General features: G+C 34.2%; 1 protein-coding gene across 19 annotated transcripts in view, besides 1 other annotated feature; it reads right to left on the bottom strand.

Moving 5' to 3' along the window:
• The window catches only part of TBC1D19 (TBC1 domain family member 19), a 282,243-nt gene that overhangs the window by 184,678 nt on the left and 79,773 nt on the right, over positions 1-17,792 (bottom strand). For all 19 annotated transcript variants that reach the window (XR_007057937.1, XR_001741277.2, XR_007057936.1 and 16 more), the window contains 4 exons: positions 14,535-14,645; positions 7,837-7,909; positions 2,055-2,093; positions 354-466 (listed from right to left, as the gene is read on the bottom strand). Coding sequence is in view for 10 of the 19 variants with exons in the window: in XM_047415904.1 (XP_047271860.1) it covers positions 354-466; positions 2,055-2,093; positions 7,837-7,909; positions 14,535-14,645 (336 nt within the window). In the remaining 9 variants the exon portion in view is untranslated. The remainder of the gene's footprint in view (positions 1-353; positions 467-2,054; positions 2,094-7,836; positions 7,910-14,534; positions 14,646-17,792) is intronic.
• Positions 12,401-12,695: a silencer, noted in NCBI's record as "tiled region #1278; HepG2 Repressive non-DNase unmatched - State 24:Quies, and K562 Repressive non-DNase unmatched - State 15:Elon". NCBI's record gives its function as "represses a minimal TATA promoter and a strong SV40 promoter by Sharpr-MPRA in HepG2 and K562 cells {active_cell/tissue: HepG2 | K562}" and the evidence as "EXISTENCE:reporter gene assay evidence [ECO:0000049][PMID:27701403]".

Below are 17,792 nucleotides of genomic sequence, written 5' to 3'. Positions count from 1 at the left end.
CTGAGTTGCCTTTCTTTATTTCTCCGTAGTCTAACATCCGTATTCAACCACACATCTTCACAGATCTAAATTGTCAGTCTCCACTTCTCAAAATTTTACTTACTGTTTTGTTGTATATGTAAGGTCACACCATTTCATTAATTATTAATAACAAAAACTTCAATATTAAGCAGACAATATTAAATTATATGTTAAATCTTATTTTAGAACCTAAAACTATAGTGATTTTGAAAATTTAAAAAGGGGGTTAATAATAGATTAAGAAACAAAAGTTTTTTCAATTTTGAATAACTGGTCTTTGAAAAATAAATACCCCAAAGCTAAAATCTGACCCACCCTTTTTTTCTTCTTACCTCAGGTTGGCTGGAAATATTCAAAATGAGAGCCCACAATTCAGCTCTCAGTGCCGTGGGACTTCCTTGTCTGATGTACTGTTGAGCAGCAGCACTATCTTGTTCTGCTAGAACTATCAAAAGTATATGAAAATCTCCTTTGAAAACTCAGAATGTAAGAAACATCACTGAAATCTTCAATTATAAATCTTTTGGGAAGCTGATATTCAGTCTTTCTATCTAACATAATTACACCGTATCTTTACCTTTTAAAATTTATTCTCTGGATTTCAATACAGCCCTATTTGCAGCCCTCCCAGTTGCAAGCCTTAAGCTCTTCCACCTCCTACCCAGTGTGGATAAGGAGGGACTTAATGTAAGGACTTTGAGATCACTTTGCTTTAACTATAGCTCCATGGATCTGAAACTAGTATTGTGTGTGTGTGTGTGTGTGTGTGTGTGTATATATATATATATATATATATGAAATAATTTTTAGATTCCATTATCAAGTTAATTCATAGCTACGGAAACCCCAAATTTCTTATGCATATTCTACTACATCATGAATGTTCTAATATTTGGAAATGTATGGTACATGAAGTTTCATGCCTAAGAATTACAATATATAAGAATGTTAGCTATCTATTCTATTAAATGACTTCTTAGTTATTTGCCAAAATCAACAGAAAACAGGGATTTTCAAAGACGTAGAAACAAAGATCTCATAACCTTGCAAGAAGGCTCAAATTATTCTTAAAAAGCCAAGTTCACACAATCAATATGTTATCTTTTGCTTTCATTTTAATTTTTATTTTCTTTAATAAAGATGTCAGCTATTCAGTCTGGAAATAAAGGTCCAAAAAAACAAAATGAAGCAAAACCAAAAAAAGACATATCAAAACAACTGCTAATGTTTATCTAACCAGTATTGTTTTCTTATATTTTCTTCTTAAAAAAAATCTTATATTAAATGAAAATGACATGAGCAGAAGAAACAAAGGAATCATGAAATAAAAAAGAGATGAAGCATATTCTTTAATTTGAAATTGCTCTTAATAAAAGTGTCAAATCATACAAATAAATTCTAAATAAATACAATTTTTAAAAATTGAAGTAGGGATTTGGTACATGACAATATAATTGCCATAGAAGGTTCATTCTGACACAAAGACCAATCTGTACTTCATATCTCAAAGACAAAAAAGGATTTATAAAAACAAGGAAAAGAATCTTCAAAAGATAGGGAAAAACTATTCCCCAGAATACTAAAAGCCACTTTGGTTATTAAGCCACACCACTGTGAATGGTCACTGGGAACCATTACAGTTATATTTTCTCCTGATGCGGGAGCATATTCCCATTAACTCTAATGAGAGGTGTGTGGGTGCATCAAAGACAGAACCTGCCTCTTTGATTTTAAAATGAAATTCTACTGCCGAATGGATTAAGCTAACATCCCTGAGGAATATGTGTCTGCATTTCCTTTTTAGTGAACCAGCTGTGTACTTCTTTCTCTGACATTTATTGACAAAGCCAAAATGATGCATTTTCCCTACTTATAAAGATTCTCATTATGTAATCTACATGGTTAAATATTACCCCTCTTTAGGTTTTTCACTTTTCAGAGATTAAATTTCACCTGGAGGTTATCTGAGGCAGACATTTAGCTGGGACTGTCTCACTTTTCAGAAATAATAACATTTATAATTAAAAGCTTACCTTTTTGCCCAATACGTACATGTTCATTTTCAAAAAGTTCTAAAAATTAAAAAAAAATTAAAATTATTAGACATGAGTATGAGCAATCACATTTAGAACAACATTAGATACATTTTTCTGGTATTGATACATTTAATGATTTTTAAAGCCAGATGGCTCTACAGAAAACTAAAGAATATCTCATATGTAAAAAAGTTTTTTCTACATTTTTTAAAATTAAAACAGAGTTATGAGCATTTAATCAAACAAAAAAATTGATGAATGAATTTTCCCTTTGTTAAAACATCTCATAATAAAGCCAAACAATTTTTTGTTTAAAATTAAAACAGTTATGAGCATTTAATCAAACAAAACATTGATGAATGAATTTTCCCTTTGTTAAAACATCTTCTCATAATACAAAAATGTTCCTATTCATTCATCTTTAATTTTTTCCTTAAAGAAAAACAAAACTTATTGACAGCTTCATTTACAAAACCCTACTTCCACTCCAATCTACCATTGGCTATCTAATAAAAGCATATCTAATAAAAGCCTTACTGCTATATAGGAAAAATCTCGCTCTACAAATGCCATTTTAAAAGATTCTATGATGAGATTTTTTTAAGTAGAAATCATAATGGAAAAAGATTCATGAACTAGACTATATTACATTTTTAAAAAAAAACTTCTGTTCATCAAAAGCACTGTTAAGAGAGCGAAAATGTAAGTAACACAGTGGAAGAATATATTTGCTGTACATATATCTGGCAAAAGACTCCTATTCAGAATATATAAAGAACTCCTGGTAGACAAAGACAGATGACTCTCAGACACGAACAGGCAAAAGACTTAAATAGAGGCTCTTCACAAAAGGAGTGACCTGAAGGACCAATAAACATATGAAAAGCTGCTCAACCACATTGGTCTTCAGGGAAATGCAATTAAAACCACTATGAAATACACAACCACCACAATAGCTAAAATGAAAAGACTGACAATTCTAAATGTAAAAGATGTGGAGCAAATGAATTTCTCATACAAAGCTAGTGGGAGTAGAACTTGGTACAAACACTGTGGAAAAGTGTCCAGCAATAGCTACTAACACTGAACATATGTGCATATCCTATGATAATTAGCAATCCACTCTCAGTTATAAACCCTAATGCATACATATGTGCACCAAGAGACATGTACAAGAATATTCACAGCACCACCATTGATAATAACCAAAAATGTAATCAATACCATCAGCAGGATACTAGATAGTGGCATATTCATACAATAGATTACAATACAGCAATGAGAATGAATGATTTATAATTCTCTACAACACCTTGAATATTATAAAGAAAAGCAAAAGAAGCCAAACACAAAAGAGTATATACTATATGATTTCATTTCTATAAAGTACAAAAATAAGCAAAACTAATCTATGATGTCAGAAGGCAGAATAGTTTTTACCCATGAGAGTGACAGAATCTGAATGTGTGCCTAAGGGGGCTTCTGAGATGCTGGTAATATTCTGTTTCTCGGTCTAGCTGGAGGTTACGCAAGTGTGTTCACTTTGTAAAAATTCACTGATCTGTATATACGTGATTTGTATACTATCCAGTATGTATGTTGTACTTCTATAAAAGTTATTTAAAAATTAGCAGTCATTTTTCTATTACCTGCAGTACTTGAAAACTCTAGTTTTGAAATATAAAATTGCAACACTAAAGAAAAATCAGAAGAATTCTCTTAATCAAAGAAAGATTAATGTATGTGTGGTACATTTTCAGTATTAGATAATTTTTTAGTTTTAAAAAATAATCCATAAAGCTGTTTTTTCACTAGAGTATTTGAGCCAGAATGCCTTATTCTTTTAGTTTATTGTAGTCCTAATATTTCTGAAGTAATTAGTTGAACAGATTATACAATGACTAAGGAAAGTGTCTGGGATCCGTAACATAAATCATTTATATATATAAAATGATTATATATAAAAATATATATAGTCTACATATATATGTATATAGTAACAATACAGTTTCATTTTAATCAGCTATGATTTCTGAGACTTAGTGACCAAAGCAGACAATGCTTCAGTGAACACTATAATAGCATGAAACAGCAGATGTAATACTGCAGCATACTATAGTGGGGCGAAGTTCAGTAAACTTTCAGAAAATAACAAACAGTATATTACAGGCACTGGAGACAGTTTTCACATAGAACCCCATAACTGGTTCTTCTCAGTTATCTTGATAAGCACATCACAAAACTGCCCATAACAACTCGATTCTTTTCATCCTCCTTGACTAAGGATTAAGTTAAAATTTCTCTTAAGATTAAAATTATAATCCTTTATGTTCATTTCAATCAATGTAGTTTATACAGTTCAAGATTTTCTTCTCATAATATGCCAAGAAATGTTTTATATTCATAATTTTCACTGAATGAATAAAGAATAGTTGAATAATCAAGTAAAAATAAGTTGCCAGCCAATTCTCATTTTCTAATAAAAGCAGAGGATATTACTATATGATAACAGTGCTTTATTACCCAAAGTAGTATGAAATAACAATAATCAAACAGACTTCTTTAAAAAATTTAACTATTCAATTATGTGAAATACAATAATTTTGCTTTTTAAATGCTATTTTCTGTCCTAAGAATAAGAAGCCTAAAAAGTCAGAACCAAAATCTCCAACTTACACTCTAATTCTGTGTTTTTCAGAGTGCCCTGAGGACCATTATGTTAACAGATGCACCTATATTAATAGATCTTGCTCAGGAAAAAAACTTCTGTTAAAATGATCTTGGAAGATGCAAAGCTAAAATAATTTAGTTAAGACTTCTCATAGTCTTTATAAGATAGTAACATACACTGTGTATCTTAAGAAGGTATACAATACAGCCCTTCTCAAACCCTATTTGACAACAAGATTCTCTTTTTCACAGGGCATCTTATGAGTGCTCCTGAGTATAACACTTCAGGAAATACTGCACTAACTGAGTATGATTTTTTCTTTTAGAAAGAAAATGTCTATTTAGTAGAACCCTCATCTAATAAGATTCATTATTACGTACACTCAGACAATAATATCAGACATATGACCTCCTTTATCATGAAGGCTTATGAAAGAATGCTGAGCTTGCTCACTCTGTTAACATCAGTCTTATAAATGGTTTCCATAGTAAATGTGTGTGTGTGTGTGTGTGTGTGTGTGTGTGTGTATGTATTTAAAATAAATGCAATGCATGTTCATGAGAGTTTGTAGAAGTAATGGCTATGACTTTTTTTATTATTGTTAAATAAGGATTCTATAGTATAATTGTAAGGACTTTTTCTCCTGACTTTTATATAAAAGCTCATAAGTAAGAAGTGCATTTCAAATATAATAATTGAATAGCAGTAATGATAAAACATAGGTAACAGAGGTTTTAAAGATGCGTAAGAACACAATTCCCTTAAGCCACGCTTAAACTTAATTCTGAATATAAAAAACTTGCCTCTAGCCAAACACAAGTATTAGCAACATTTTCAAACATTAGCATTACATTTCCAACTTAATTGAAGTGAAAGACACAGACTAAAATATAAAATAAGAGGTCATTGGCCTCCTTCAAGCAGGCTTAGTATTCTATGCTCCAACTGCCCTTTAAATGTAATAACAGCAAATACCACACTGTATCTTATCTGTCACTTACCACTATTTTTTCCCCTAAAAGCAGAGATTATGTCTTATGTCTATGTATTCTATGTATATCTCTGCATTCACCAGTCCCTGGCCCTCAGCAGGGTCTCAAAACACATTTGTTATATTATGAATGAATCAAAGAAGGAAAATCTGCACTGTAGTTTAAAAATACAGTATATTAAGTCTTCTAAAGCATAGATACTATGAGATTTAGAATAATTTTAAATAACTCAAAGATTATTTCAAAAGTAAAAAATAAAAATATAACTCAAGGCTGTGTTACTACTTCCTTTCCTTTTCTTATATGACTATCATTTGCCATTAATAAAAGTATAAGATATTTTATTTTATAAGATATTTTATATCTTCTTATAAAATAAGAAAAAGCTGTCAAAGGTGGCAGGAGGGAGGCAGCACAGGGTAGCAGACTTTGGAGACAGATTGCTTAGTTTTGAATCCTGGCTCTACCACTTACTAGTTTTGTGACCTGGAGCAAGTTACTTAACATCTCCACATCCTCTACTTTAATATGGAGATAATAATCCTACATCACATTATATAAGAAAATTAAAACCATACTGCAATACCACTATACTCTGCCAGATTGACTAAGACAAAGATGAAATACACCAAGCATTAGTGAGGACATACAACAAAACTACGACTCTCACACATTGTTGGTGGAAGTGTAAACTGGTACTAACACTTTTGAAAACTCACTGGCAGTTATTTACTAAAAATGAACATATACAAATATGAATATGAGTGAATGAATGAATGAATATTTCTAGGACCTAGAAAATGCACTCCCAGGTATATACTCCACAGCAGAATATAGATACGTTCACCAAAAAACACATACTAGAATGATCATAGTAGCCTTATCTGTACTATCCTCAAACTTGCAACTTCCCAAATATTTATCAACCGTAGAATAGATAAATAAATGTGTGGTATATGCATCCAGTGGAACACCAGAAAGCAAATGATCTATAAACACATATAACAACATGGCCAAATGTCACAAATATAATTTGAACAAAAGAAGTCAAACATCACAGAGACACACTGTATGCTTCTATTCATATGAAGTTCAAGAATTTGAAAAACTAATCTGTGCTGCCAGAAATCAGAATAGTAATCTTTGTAATGGGGATTACAGATTGAAAGAGGGTAGGAGGAGGGCTTCTGTTTAGTGTTCTGGGTATTTTAATAGGTGTATTCAATTTGTAAAAATTCATTAAGCTGTCCTCTTATTATAGATGTATTCTTTTATATGCATTATACATTAATAAAGTATTTAAAAATGAAAATTGATACCATATAAAGTTGCTGAGAGGTTAAAATGAGACAATATAGATGCAACATATAGTATGTGCCCAATGGTTATTTCTGATTACATAGTAATAATAATAGTAATAATTATGTAATATTGCTATTATAATAGTGGTAAGAGCCAACTTATTTATTTTATAGAGGAAGAAACAAGTCCAAAGATGCATAGTGACTTGTGCAAGTTACACAGTTAGCCAGTGGCAGAGGAAAGACTAGAATAGTCTCCTAACCCCTATCTAGTATTATTTCCACTACAATACGGGGCTCCCATACTTCAAGTAAATTTGTACTTCATTTTTATTATAGCTAAATACCAGTGTAGTATTTAATAAAAAGTATATTGAATTTATGCACAAAAAGGGAAAAGTTAGGAAAACTGCTTGGATTATTAAGGTTTAAAACACACTATTTTTAAAGCCTAAGTTGACTCAAGGTAGACGTCAGTGTTCACTTAACTTGGTGATACAAAAGTAAAAACAGATGCTGATGGCCAGGAAAGGATGTTGCCAGTAAAGATTCTGACAACAAAAATGACTTATATATGTCTAATGACTTTTCAAAATCATTTTAAAGACTTTCAAATAAAAAGACAAAATTTAGTTGAAGTCTAATAATTACAACATACAGGATTCTATTCAATAAATAACAGTAACCAAGGAGAGGCAAAAGCATGCTTAGTTTTCAGATATAAAAAAATTGCTAGATTAACTTGGAAATAGCAATATAAACCTTAGGCTCACTCTCATTTATCATTAATTATATGCCGTTGGAAAAATACTAACCAGGAGGCACTTGTGTAGAATCATCTATACCCAGTTGTCCTATATTTAAGCCAAGTTCCACAAAGCATTCTTTCTGAAAAATAACATACGTAGAATTAACATAGATCTCAGACTTTGCTGCACATTGTTAAAAGATCACCTTTGCCTTAACATTAGCTTGAATAAAAATCACAGTGTGAAATGAGGCTTTGCTTTATTCAAATACCTAAAAAAGAAAAGGACATATTAAACATCTAAATAATAAGGCATTAGTCCAAAATTAAGGAATAGAATAACCAGTGATTACTATATAATATTTATTATTTTCATATAAAATAATCATGAATAGAAAAGATATAAGCATTTAGGAAATATAAATATATAATGGGAAAGACACAAACATATAATGTTTATCCAAATGGAGAGCCATTAGCAATATTTTTCTTTCTCCTAATTTTTCCTACCTAATAAAAGTTTTACTTCTTGCCTTTTGACCAATGAGTGCTGCCATTGTTTAAAAGAACTGTTTTCCAAAAACAGTTCTTGATTTTGCCTTTTTAGGTAACAGACTACTCAGTAAGGTAAGGAATGATAATTATCCTTTCAGTAAAAAACTAACTTTAAACCTTTCCTGAAACACACACACACACATACAAACACTCAGTATGCATATCACTTACCAATTTTATCTTCTAAAATCATTGTCTAAAATTACCATTATGATCCTGTATTTGTGCTTTCTATGTTACTGTACTTCACTCAGATCTTAATCAACTAAACACTGCAAATATCCAAAACAACTTAAATTAATTTTTAAGTACAATTGGACCATCAAGTGCTCTGCTAAAATAAGGATAAATCAGATTTATTCTCCAGACTTCCTCTACTTATCTAGTAATGTCTAAGAAAAATAATAATGTTTGTCTGGTATTTTTTAAATATATAAAAACCTCACATTATTCACATTTTTATGCCCAAAGTAATTAAATATTTCTATTAATATTTTCCTCAGCATTTTGTTAACTATTCTAATTGCTAAACCCATACTTCCTTGTCCTTTAAAAGATGGAATTAGTTTTAATCCTTACTAATTATCTATTATTACTTAAGTTAGTGATTTATTAATGTCCTTTACAAGACAGTTATTCAGCCTAACATACACATATACACATTTCATTTTGTATAGATTTTAAATAACTACTACTATATTTCAATTTTTAATCTTTATCTACCCTTTAAAAAGTACTGCATCTTGTCCATGACTAAGATCTACCGCAGACCCCTGGACTGGCCTGCTAGCCCATGTTCTGATGTTAATGACATCGAAGGCACCCCTTCCAAGGAAATCTCAACTGCACGTCCCCTACTATGCCCCAGTTCAGCAGGAAGCAGTTAGAGCGATCGTCGGCCAACCTCCCCAACAGCACTCGGGTTTTCCTGTTGAGAGTGAGGACTGAGAGCCAGGACTAGCTGGATTTCCTAGGCCAACCAAGAATTCCTAAGCCTAGCTGGGAAGGTGAATGCACCCACCTTTAAACACGGGGTTTGTAACTCAGCTCACACTCGACCAACCAGGTAGTAAAGAGGGCTCACTAAAATACAACTTAGGCTAAAAGCAGGAGGTAAAGAAATAGTCAAATCATATATCGCCTGAGAGCACAGGGGGAGGGACAATGATCGGGATATAAACCCAGGCATTCGAGCTGGGAGTGGGCAATCCCCTTTGCGTCCCCTCCCATTGTGTGGGAGCTCTGTTTTCACTCTATTAAATCTTGCAACTGCAAAAAAAAAAAAAAAAGTACTGCATCTTATGTTACCAATTTCTAATGACTGAAGAGGTAAAAATGTGTTATTCTTCCATTTTCAACCATTGTTTTCCATTTATTTTAAGGCACTCTTCTGTAATTGAAATCATTTGTATTTTTCTTTTTAAAAATAACCTTAATCTTCATACTGCAAAAGGGACTTATACCCAACAAATGCTTTAATATTAGGTTCTATAATTAAAATGGAGAGTTTTACTTAGGCTAGGACATGTTAAAAAGCATGAACAGAACTCTGGACATCAATTTCCTACTTCATTGCTCTGGACTATTTTTAACTCAATGTCAGCAGACATGGACCCTAATCTCAGATTTCCTTCAAAACTCACCCCAGGTATGACATCTTCAGAGAAGCCTCCCTTGACATTCCAGGCTGATATAAACAACTTTTTATGCACATATATTATCCTTTATCAACCTCTACCCAAGCACACAATCACATCATATTGAAACTGTATTTTTACTGCCCACCTCTCCACTAGCCTGCAGCTCTTGGAAGACAAGCACTGTCTCTTACACACATTTGCACTCTGCTTTACTACTTGGCACAGGGCCTGACATAACAAAAGGGTTCAATAAATATTGAACCACACTACTTAGCTCTAGTCCTAACTAGCTGTCTCCACATAACCAAATTAGTAAATAGGAATTTATCACAACTACACTTTAGAGTTAATACATCTCAGTTATAAGGAATTTCTGTTTAATATGTATGAGTCTACTTAACCTTGTAATTAGGTTTAAGGGCTATCCATTACAGGATCACAGGACTCACTGAGCCTCACCAAGTTCAATACTCGCACAGACAGACCAGGGTCACAGATAAACCAAGTATCCTGGAGTCAGAATCATTATATTGCCAGGCTGCATGATATAGGCAAGGCAGGGACAACTACCCATAATGACTGAGGAATAAAAGGACTAACTATACTCTTAATCATATAGCTACAATTTCTTGAAAATTAGCTACAAGCTTTTGGTTCTCCAATAGCTAAGAATGCATTCGCATCAGTTTAGGGTCTCTTCAGACAGACAGAATACATAGTAGTCTCATTCACACATAAGCTGAAACTTTGTCTAAATTATCCTTTCCCTGCTTTTTTACCTAGCAAACTCCTTCAAGTTGGCTGGTTTCAGAGTGTCATCACCTAATATTCATATGAAATTGCCTCTACATGCAGCAGTTTCAGATATCATCTATTGATTTTATATGGAAAATGAGGATTTTAGCTCATGCACATTCTTTCCGTCCTTCAGTCATCATTAATTCTTAATTAAATCCATATTAAAAGTTTGCATTATTGTGACTATGTAAATGTTTCACTGGTGAGGCATGTGGTACTTATCAATGTTTTCATTCTTATACTTTTTTCCACACTGTTTATAATTAAACTGATTTTTCACTTATACAATTTTCTCTAATCATTTACGTCTTTTTCTTAAACCCATAACAACTCTGAAAAGACCCTCCTTAATATAATTTTGCATGTGGTCAAGCCTGTGAGATCATCTGTACTTTTGGTGTTTTTCTTGCAGGCATCCATCCTGGAACCTTCCAACCTCCTGCTCCAATCTAGGATTGTTGTGTTTCAGTCCAGTTGTACAGCCTTTGTCCTGGAACTTCTCTTTACTATCATTTCTGGGAAACTCTCCTTCTCTTTGGTTGGGATCCTGTTTTCTGGGTCCCATGTTTTGCTTCTTGTTTATGACCTTGTTTGAAGCGCTTCTACCAAGAGCTCCCTAAATAAGAGTAAATATTTTAGATCAGTACATCAGAAAATGTTTACTCCTCCTTAACATTTGATTGATTGTTGGTTACATATAGAATTCCAGGCTTGAAATCACTCAGGTTTTTAAAGACATTACTTCAAAATCTTCTGGCTTCCAGTGTTGCTGCTGAGAGTAAGATGCCACACTGATTCCTGACACTGTATATACTCTGCTTTTCTTTTATAAAAAAATTTCAGTTTTCTCGTTTTCAAGTGCCTTGGTGGGGATCTTCTTTCATTCACGGCACTGGGTACTTGGTAAGCCTTTTCACTGGACAGCCACATCTTGCTTAAATTCTTATAAACTTAATTACATTCCCTCTGTTTCCCTTTTCTGGAACTCCTTTTGGTCAGATGTTAATCTTTGTAGATTGATCTTGTAATTTAAGAAATCTTTTCCCTCCTGTTTTTCATTTCTTTGGCTTTTTGCTTCATCTTCTGATAAAGATTTCCTCAGCTTTGTTTTCAACTCATCTATTGATATGTATTTTTTGGCATACTATATTCTTAATCCCAAAACCTCCTTTTCATTCTCAAGTGTTTTCTTGCATTAATGAAATTCTGTTCTTGTTTTGAGTAATATCTTATCGTTCTGAGAATATTAATGGTTTCATTAAAGTCTCCTTCTGGGAATAAATGGTTAACATGTCCATTTGAAGATGACATTGGGTTTACCTTCTCCCATCACTATTGCCCTAAAAGTGTACTGAATCACAAAAAAAAATTCTAAGAGAAATGTCCCCACTATATTGCTAAGCAATGTTATTTACTGAAAACATACGATCCTTGACTGGTAAACGACATCTGAAATGGAAAACTGTGAGTAGAGTATAAAAACTGACTGGAAAACACAGGCCTTAGCCACCTGTGTGGTATCTCTTGAGAGGACTTGGAAGCTATGCTTATGTGCATTACAAGAAATGATTCCTATTGTGTATGAGACTTCCCTATGTTGTGCCTATGTGACTTGTCATTTTCAGTTGCATACCTTCCTTGTGAGGGTTGGGAAGTAGCATTTGGATGGCTGTAAGGACTCTCCGTGATGATGTACCTGCTAATGGCATGCTAGTATACTGTCATGCTGTTTTCCATTCTGTTTCATTCACAAATTTAAGTGAACCTGGGGCCAGGTTATCGTCTATTGCATCCTGTGAGTGTCAATGTAAATCAGAACCTGAAATGCCTATTAGTGGTCATTCCCTAATTTGGCTATTTGGGTTTTGTTATTGTTGTTGTTGTTTGGTTTTGCTTTAGTTTGGTCTCTGCCTCTCATACTGGAAGAATTCAAAAGTCTGGGGTTTCTAGGTTGGTCGTTCCGATTTAGAAATGAGGTAATAAAGAACTGACTGGAAGCTCTGTCGGCAAGGGTCAGGCATAGAATGCAGTAGGCTTCACTGTGAGGCAATTTTATAGCCAGCCAACCTCTTTTTTGTAAGGGTTCCCTGAATCCTTGTTAGTCTTTTCTCTGGCATTCTAGAGTTGGTTGAGGGTAAGGAAAAAGAAGGTGGAGGGTGGGGAAAGTAGGGTAGTGGTGTTAAGAATGAGAGTATTAATCTCACCATTCAGCAGACTTTCACTTAATTGCTGTTTTCAATAGCTCATTCCTGTCCTGCTCTATGTCTGAGGCCTCCGAGTGCAGTCTTTCTGCATCTGGATCTCTAGTGAATACACCTCTGGTCTTCTGTGGGGGAGGAGGAGTCATCTGAGTAGGCATGGTGATGGGAATCTGGGGGACTAACTTCTCCTGATCCAGACTTTCACACAATCTACATTTTCAGCCCTATGGCTCACTATGGTTTCCTCTGACATGTGGTACCTCCATTTCTTGAACATTTCTAAGGCTCTATGGAGAAAATCATATTGCTTCTTGCATCAGTCAGTGTCTAGTCAGGAAATAGGTCATACCAGAAATGTGAACAGGGAAAAACAGAAGAAGCAAATGCAGAAAGCAACTATGACTTCTAGGCTAAAGGAAAGTAAACAAAGAAGAAACTAAGAACTTAGAAAAGGGTCCCCTGGCCCTGAATGCTGAGATTCATACCTCTGTAGAGGGGCAGTGTAGCTGCCACACAAAGGCAGACCAGGGGTAGTGGAAAAACTTGTCAAGGGGCAGCTTAGACCTGGACTATTGAGGACTACTGAGGTGAGTGTTATTGAACCTCCTGCATCCCAATCTGCTGACTCCTACATACAGGAACTAGAAATGGAAGCCCCTGCCTCCTGCTATGGCCTTGCAGTGTCCCTCTAGAACCTTCTGTTGACAAACCCTAACATCAGGCCTGCTGGCAAAGGGGAAACGTTTATAGGGTCCGGCTCCAGCATGATAAAGCAGAGCAAAAAGGAGAATTTGGAGCTGAAAGATAATAAACTGATGACTGGCAAAAAATATAATGCCATAAATATACTTTAATCTCATTCACACTTTCTATCTTCTAGAGACATTTAGGTTTGATCTTCTCCCCTGTTTAAGTCATTTATCATCAGTGCTCTATCTTAATACATTAATGCCCAGAGTTATAAGTGGCTTCCTAGTTTCACCAAAGACAGTATTTATATTTCTACGCTCCTTATTGTTTTAGGGTGACTTTGAAAGAAGGAGTGATAATTTCTTAATTCCACCATCAGGAAATCTCCCTACTTTTCATTTTAAAATGAGCTTCCTCACAAAAATATTACGGTCTCCAGAGCAAAGCCAGTCTCTAATTAATTCTTATGTTCTCCATCTCCCTAAGTGCCTCATCTTGTTACAAGCTCCATAAAAGTTTGTGAAATTAAATAAAATGTACTTTTTTAAAAATAATCTTATAAAACTCACAATTTGTCTCAATCAGTTTTATAACCATCCAGCAGACAACTCAATCCCAACAAGCTGTCTCATAAATCTATGCTGCTTATTAAAATACAAAATAAGCAAAAGCATTTATATGTCAATGTGAACTCATTTTTAGTTCTATTAGCAAAACAACTTGCTCTCTCTATATACATATTTGCAATAAAAGAATCAACGTCACTTTATTAATTTGTTTAATGAGTAGATTACCCTATTGCTTTACATACATGCTGTATTAAAACATTTTTCTAATGGTTATCTTCTAAATGATGTTTATTTTTAAGTTTCTATACTTACCAATTCAGGGATGTCTTTTACTTTCAGTGGAACTTGAATTAAACCCAAATGAGTCCTGAAACTAAGAGAATCACCGTTTTCATAATTTGGGTTGCGAAGATTAATTAATACCTTTAAAAACAAATCCAACAAAATTGGTTAGTTTCTTTCCAGGATGTTTACACTTATAAAATTAGCAGGGATATTCTTAGTGTATCACCACAAAATTAATTACTATTTGGGTGATGCACATACTTTAATTACATTCTAAAATAGTATAAAAGTATATTGAAATGTTAATATATAATGCCATAAATATACTTTAATTAGGATGGTTTTATATTCCAATGAATGATCTACAATACAAAACTCTACCAAGTTAAGAATTTACTTAAAAATAAAAACTTTTTGGTGGTTAGAAAAAATAAAAATTGCTTGATTATAACACTTTACCAGAGAAGGTGATAAGAAAAAAATCTTGCTTGATTGTAATATTTATCAGGAAAAATTTTAGAATCAATTCTAACACATTTAAAAACAAATTGACAATATTTGTAGAAAGATGATGAAGTAAGATTGCAAGGCATCTCTCTCACCACTCCTATTCAACATAATATTGGAAGTTCTGGCCAGGGCAATCAGGCAAGAGAAAGAAATAAAGGGTATTCAAATAGGAAGAGTGGAAGTCAAATTGTCTGTTTGCAGATTACATGATTGTATATTTAGAAAACCCCACCGTCTCAGCCCAAAATCTCCTTAGGCTGATAAGCAACTATAGCAAAGTTTCAGGATACAAAATCAATGTTCAAAAATCACAAGCATTCCTATACACCAATAACAGACAAACAGAGAGCCAAATCATAAATGAATTCCCATTCACAATTGCCACGAAGGAATAAAATACCTAGCAATACAATTTACAAGGGATGTGAAGAACCTCTTCAAGGAGAACTACAAACCACTGCTCAACGAAATAAGAGAGGACACAAACAAATGGAAAAACATTCCATGCTCATGGATGGGAAGAATCAATATTGTGAAAATGGCCATACTGCCCAAAGTAATTTATAGATTCAATGCTATCCCCAAAGCTACCACTGACTTTCTTCACAGAATCGGAAAAAACTACTTTAAACTTCATATGGAACCAAAAAAGAGCCCGCATAGTCAAGACAATCCTAAGCAAAAAGAACAAAGCTGGAGGCATCACACTTCCTAACTTCAAACTATACTACAAGGCTATAGTAACCAAAACAGACTGGTACTGGTATAAAAACAGATATATAGGCCAATGGAACAGAACAGAGGCCACCAAAACAACACCACACATCTACAACCATCTGATCTTTGACAAACCTGATACAAGCAAGCAATGGGGAAAAGATTGCCTATTTAATAAATGGTGCTGGGAAAACTGGCTAGCCATATGCAGAAAACTTAAACTGGATGCCTTCCTTACACCTTATACAAAAATAAACTCAATATGCATTAAAGACTTAAACATAAGACCTAAAACTATAGGAATCCTAGAAGAAAATCTAAGCAATACCATTCAGGACACAGGCATGGGCAAAGACTTCGTGTCTTAAAACACCAAAAGCAATGGCAACAAAAGCCAAAATTGACAAATGGGATCTAATTAAACTAAAGAGCTTCTGCACAGCAAAAGAAACTATCATCAGAGTGAACAGGCAACCTACAGAATGGGAGAAAAATTTTGCAATCTATCCATCTGACAAAGGGCTAATATCCAGAACCTACAAAGAACTTAAACACATTTACAAGAAAAATACAAATAACCCCATCAAAAAGTGGCCAAAGGATATGAACAGACACTTCTCAAAAGAAGACATTTATGCAGCCAAGAAACATATAAAAAATGCTCATCATTACTGCTAATTAGAGAAATGCAAATCAAAACCACAATGAGAAACCATCTCACACCAGTTAGAATGGTGAACATTAAAAAGTCAGGAAACAACAGATGCTGGAGAGGATGTGGAGAAATAGGAATGCTTTTACACTGTTGGTGGGAGTGTAAACTAGTTCAACCATTGTGGAAGACAGTGTGGCGATTCCTCAAGGATCTAGAACTAGAAATACCATTTGACCCAGCCATCCCATTACTGGGTATATACCCAAAGGATTATAAATCATTCTACTATAAAGACACATGCACATGTATGTTTACTGAGGCACCATTCACAATAGCAAAGACTTGGAACCAACCCAAATGCCCATAAATCATAGACTGGATAAAGAAAATGTGGCACATATACACCATGGAATACTACATAGCCATAAAAAAGGATGAGTTCATGTCCTTTGCAGGGACATGGATGAAGTTGGAAACCATCACTCTCAGCAAACTATCACAAGAACAGAAAACCAAACACTGTATGTTCTCACTCATAAGTGAGAGTTGAACAATGAAAACACATGGACACAGGGAGGAAAACATCACACACCGGGGCCTGTCAGGGGGTCAGAGGCAAGGGGAGGGACAGCATTAGGAGAAATACCTAATGCAGGTGACAGGTTGATGGGTGCAGCAAACCACCATGGCACATGTATACCTATGTAACAAAACTGCACATTCTGCACATGTACCCCAGAACTTAAAGTAAAATAAAAATAAATAAATAAATGAAGAAGAAGAAGAAGAAGAAGAACAAGAAGAGGAAGAAGAAAGAGAGAAGGAGAAGGAGAAGGAGAAGGAGAAGGAGAAGGAGAAGGAGAAGAAGAAGAAGAAGAAGAAGAAGAAGAAGAAAGATTGCAGGGCATCTCCTCTAAACCAAACTCACAAGGAAAAAAAAAATTTGAAAAGCAGAGCTTAAAAAAGGTCATTTATATAATTTTCAAAAATAAGTGTCTGGGCGCAGCAGCTCATGCCTGTAATCCCAGCACTTTGGGAGGCCGAGGCAGGCAGAGTGCCTGAGCTCAAGAGTTCACAACCAGCCTGGGCAACATCGTGAGACTCCATTGCTACTAAAATACAAAAAATTAGCTGGGTGTGGTGGTGTGCTCCTGTAGTTCCAGCTACTCGGGAGGCTGAGGCAGGAGAATTGCTTTAACCCGGGAGGGGGAGGTTACAGTGAGCCAAGATTGTGCCACTGCACTCCAGCCTGGATGGCAGAGCAACACTCCATCTCAAAAAAAAAAAAAGCAGATAAAAGCCAACTTAGATACTGACATACCATTTAATGTAGGAATCTTACTTCTGTAAGTATAAACATAGAATATGATTCTAAGGAAAATAAATATGTTTGCTAGGATCAT

Source organism: Homo sapiens, chromosome 4, assembly GCF_000001405.40.
Source record: "Homo sapiens chromosome 4, GRCh38.p14 Primary Assembly".
Classification (NCBI taxonomy): domain Eukaryota; kingdom Metazoa; phylum Chordata; class Mammalia; order Primates; family Hominidae; genus Homo; species Homo sapiens.
The sequence above is the reverse complement of the archived record's forward strand: the minus strand, read 5'-3'. Positions and strand labels throughout refer to the sequence as shown.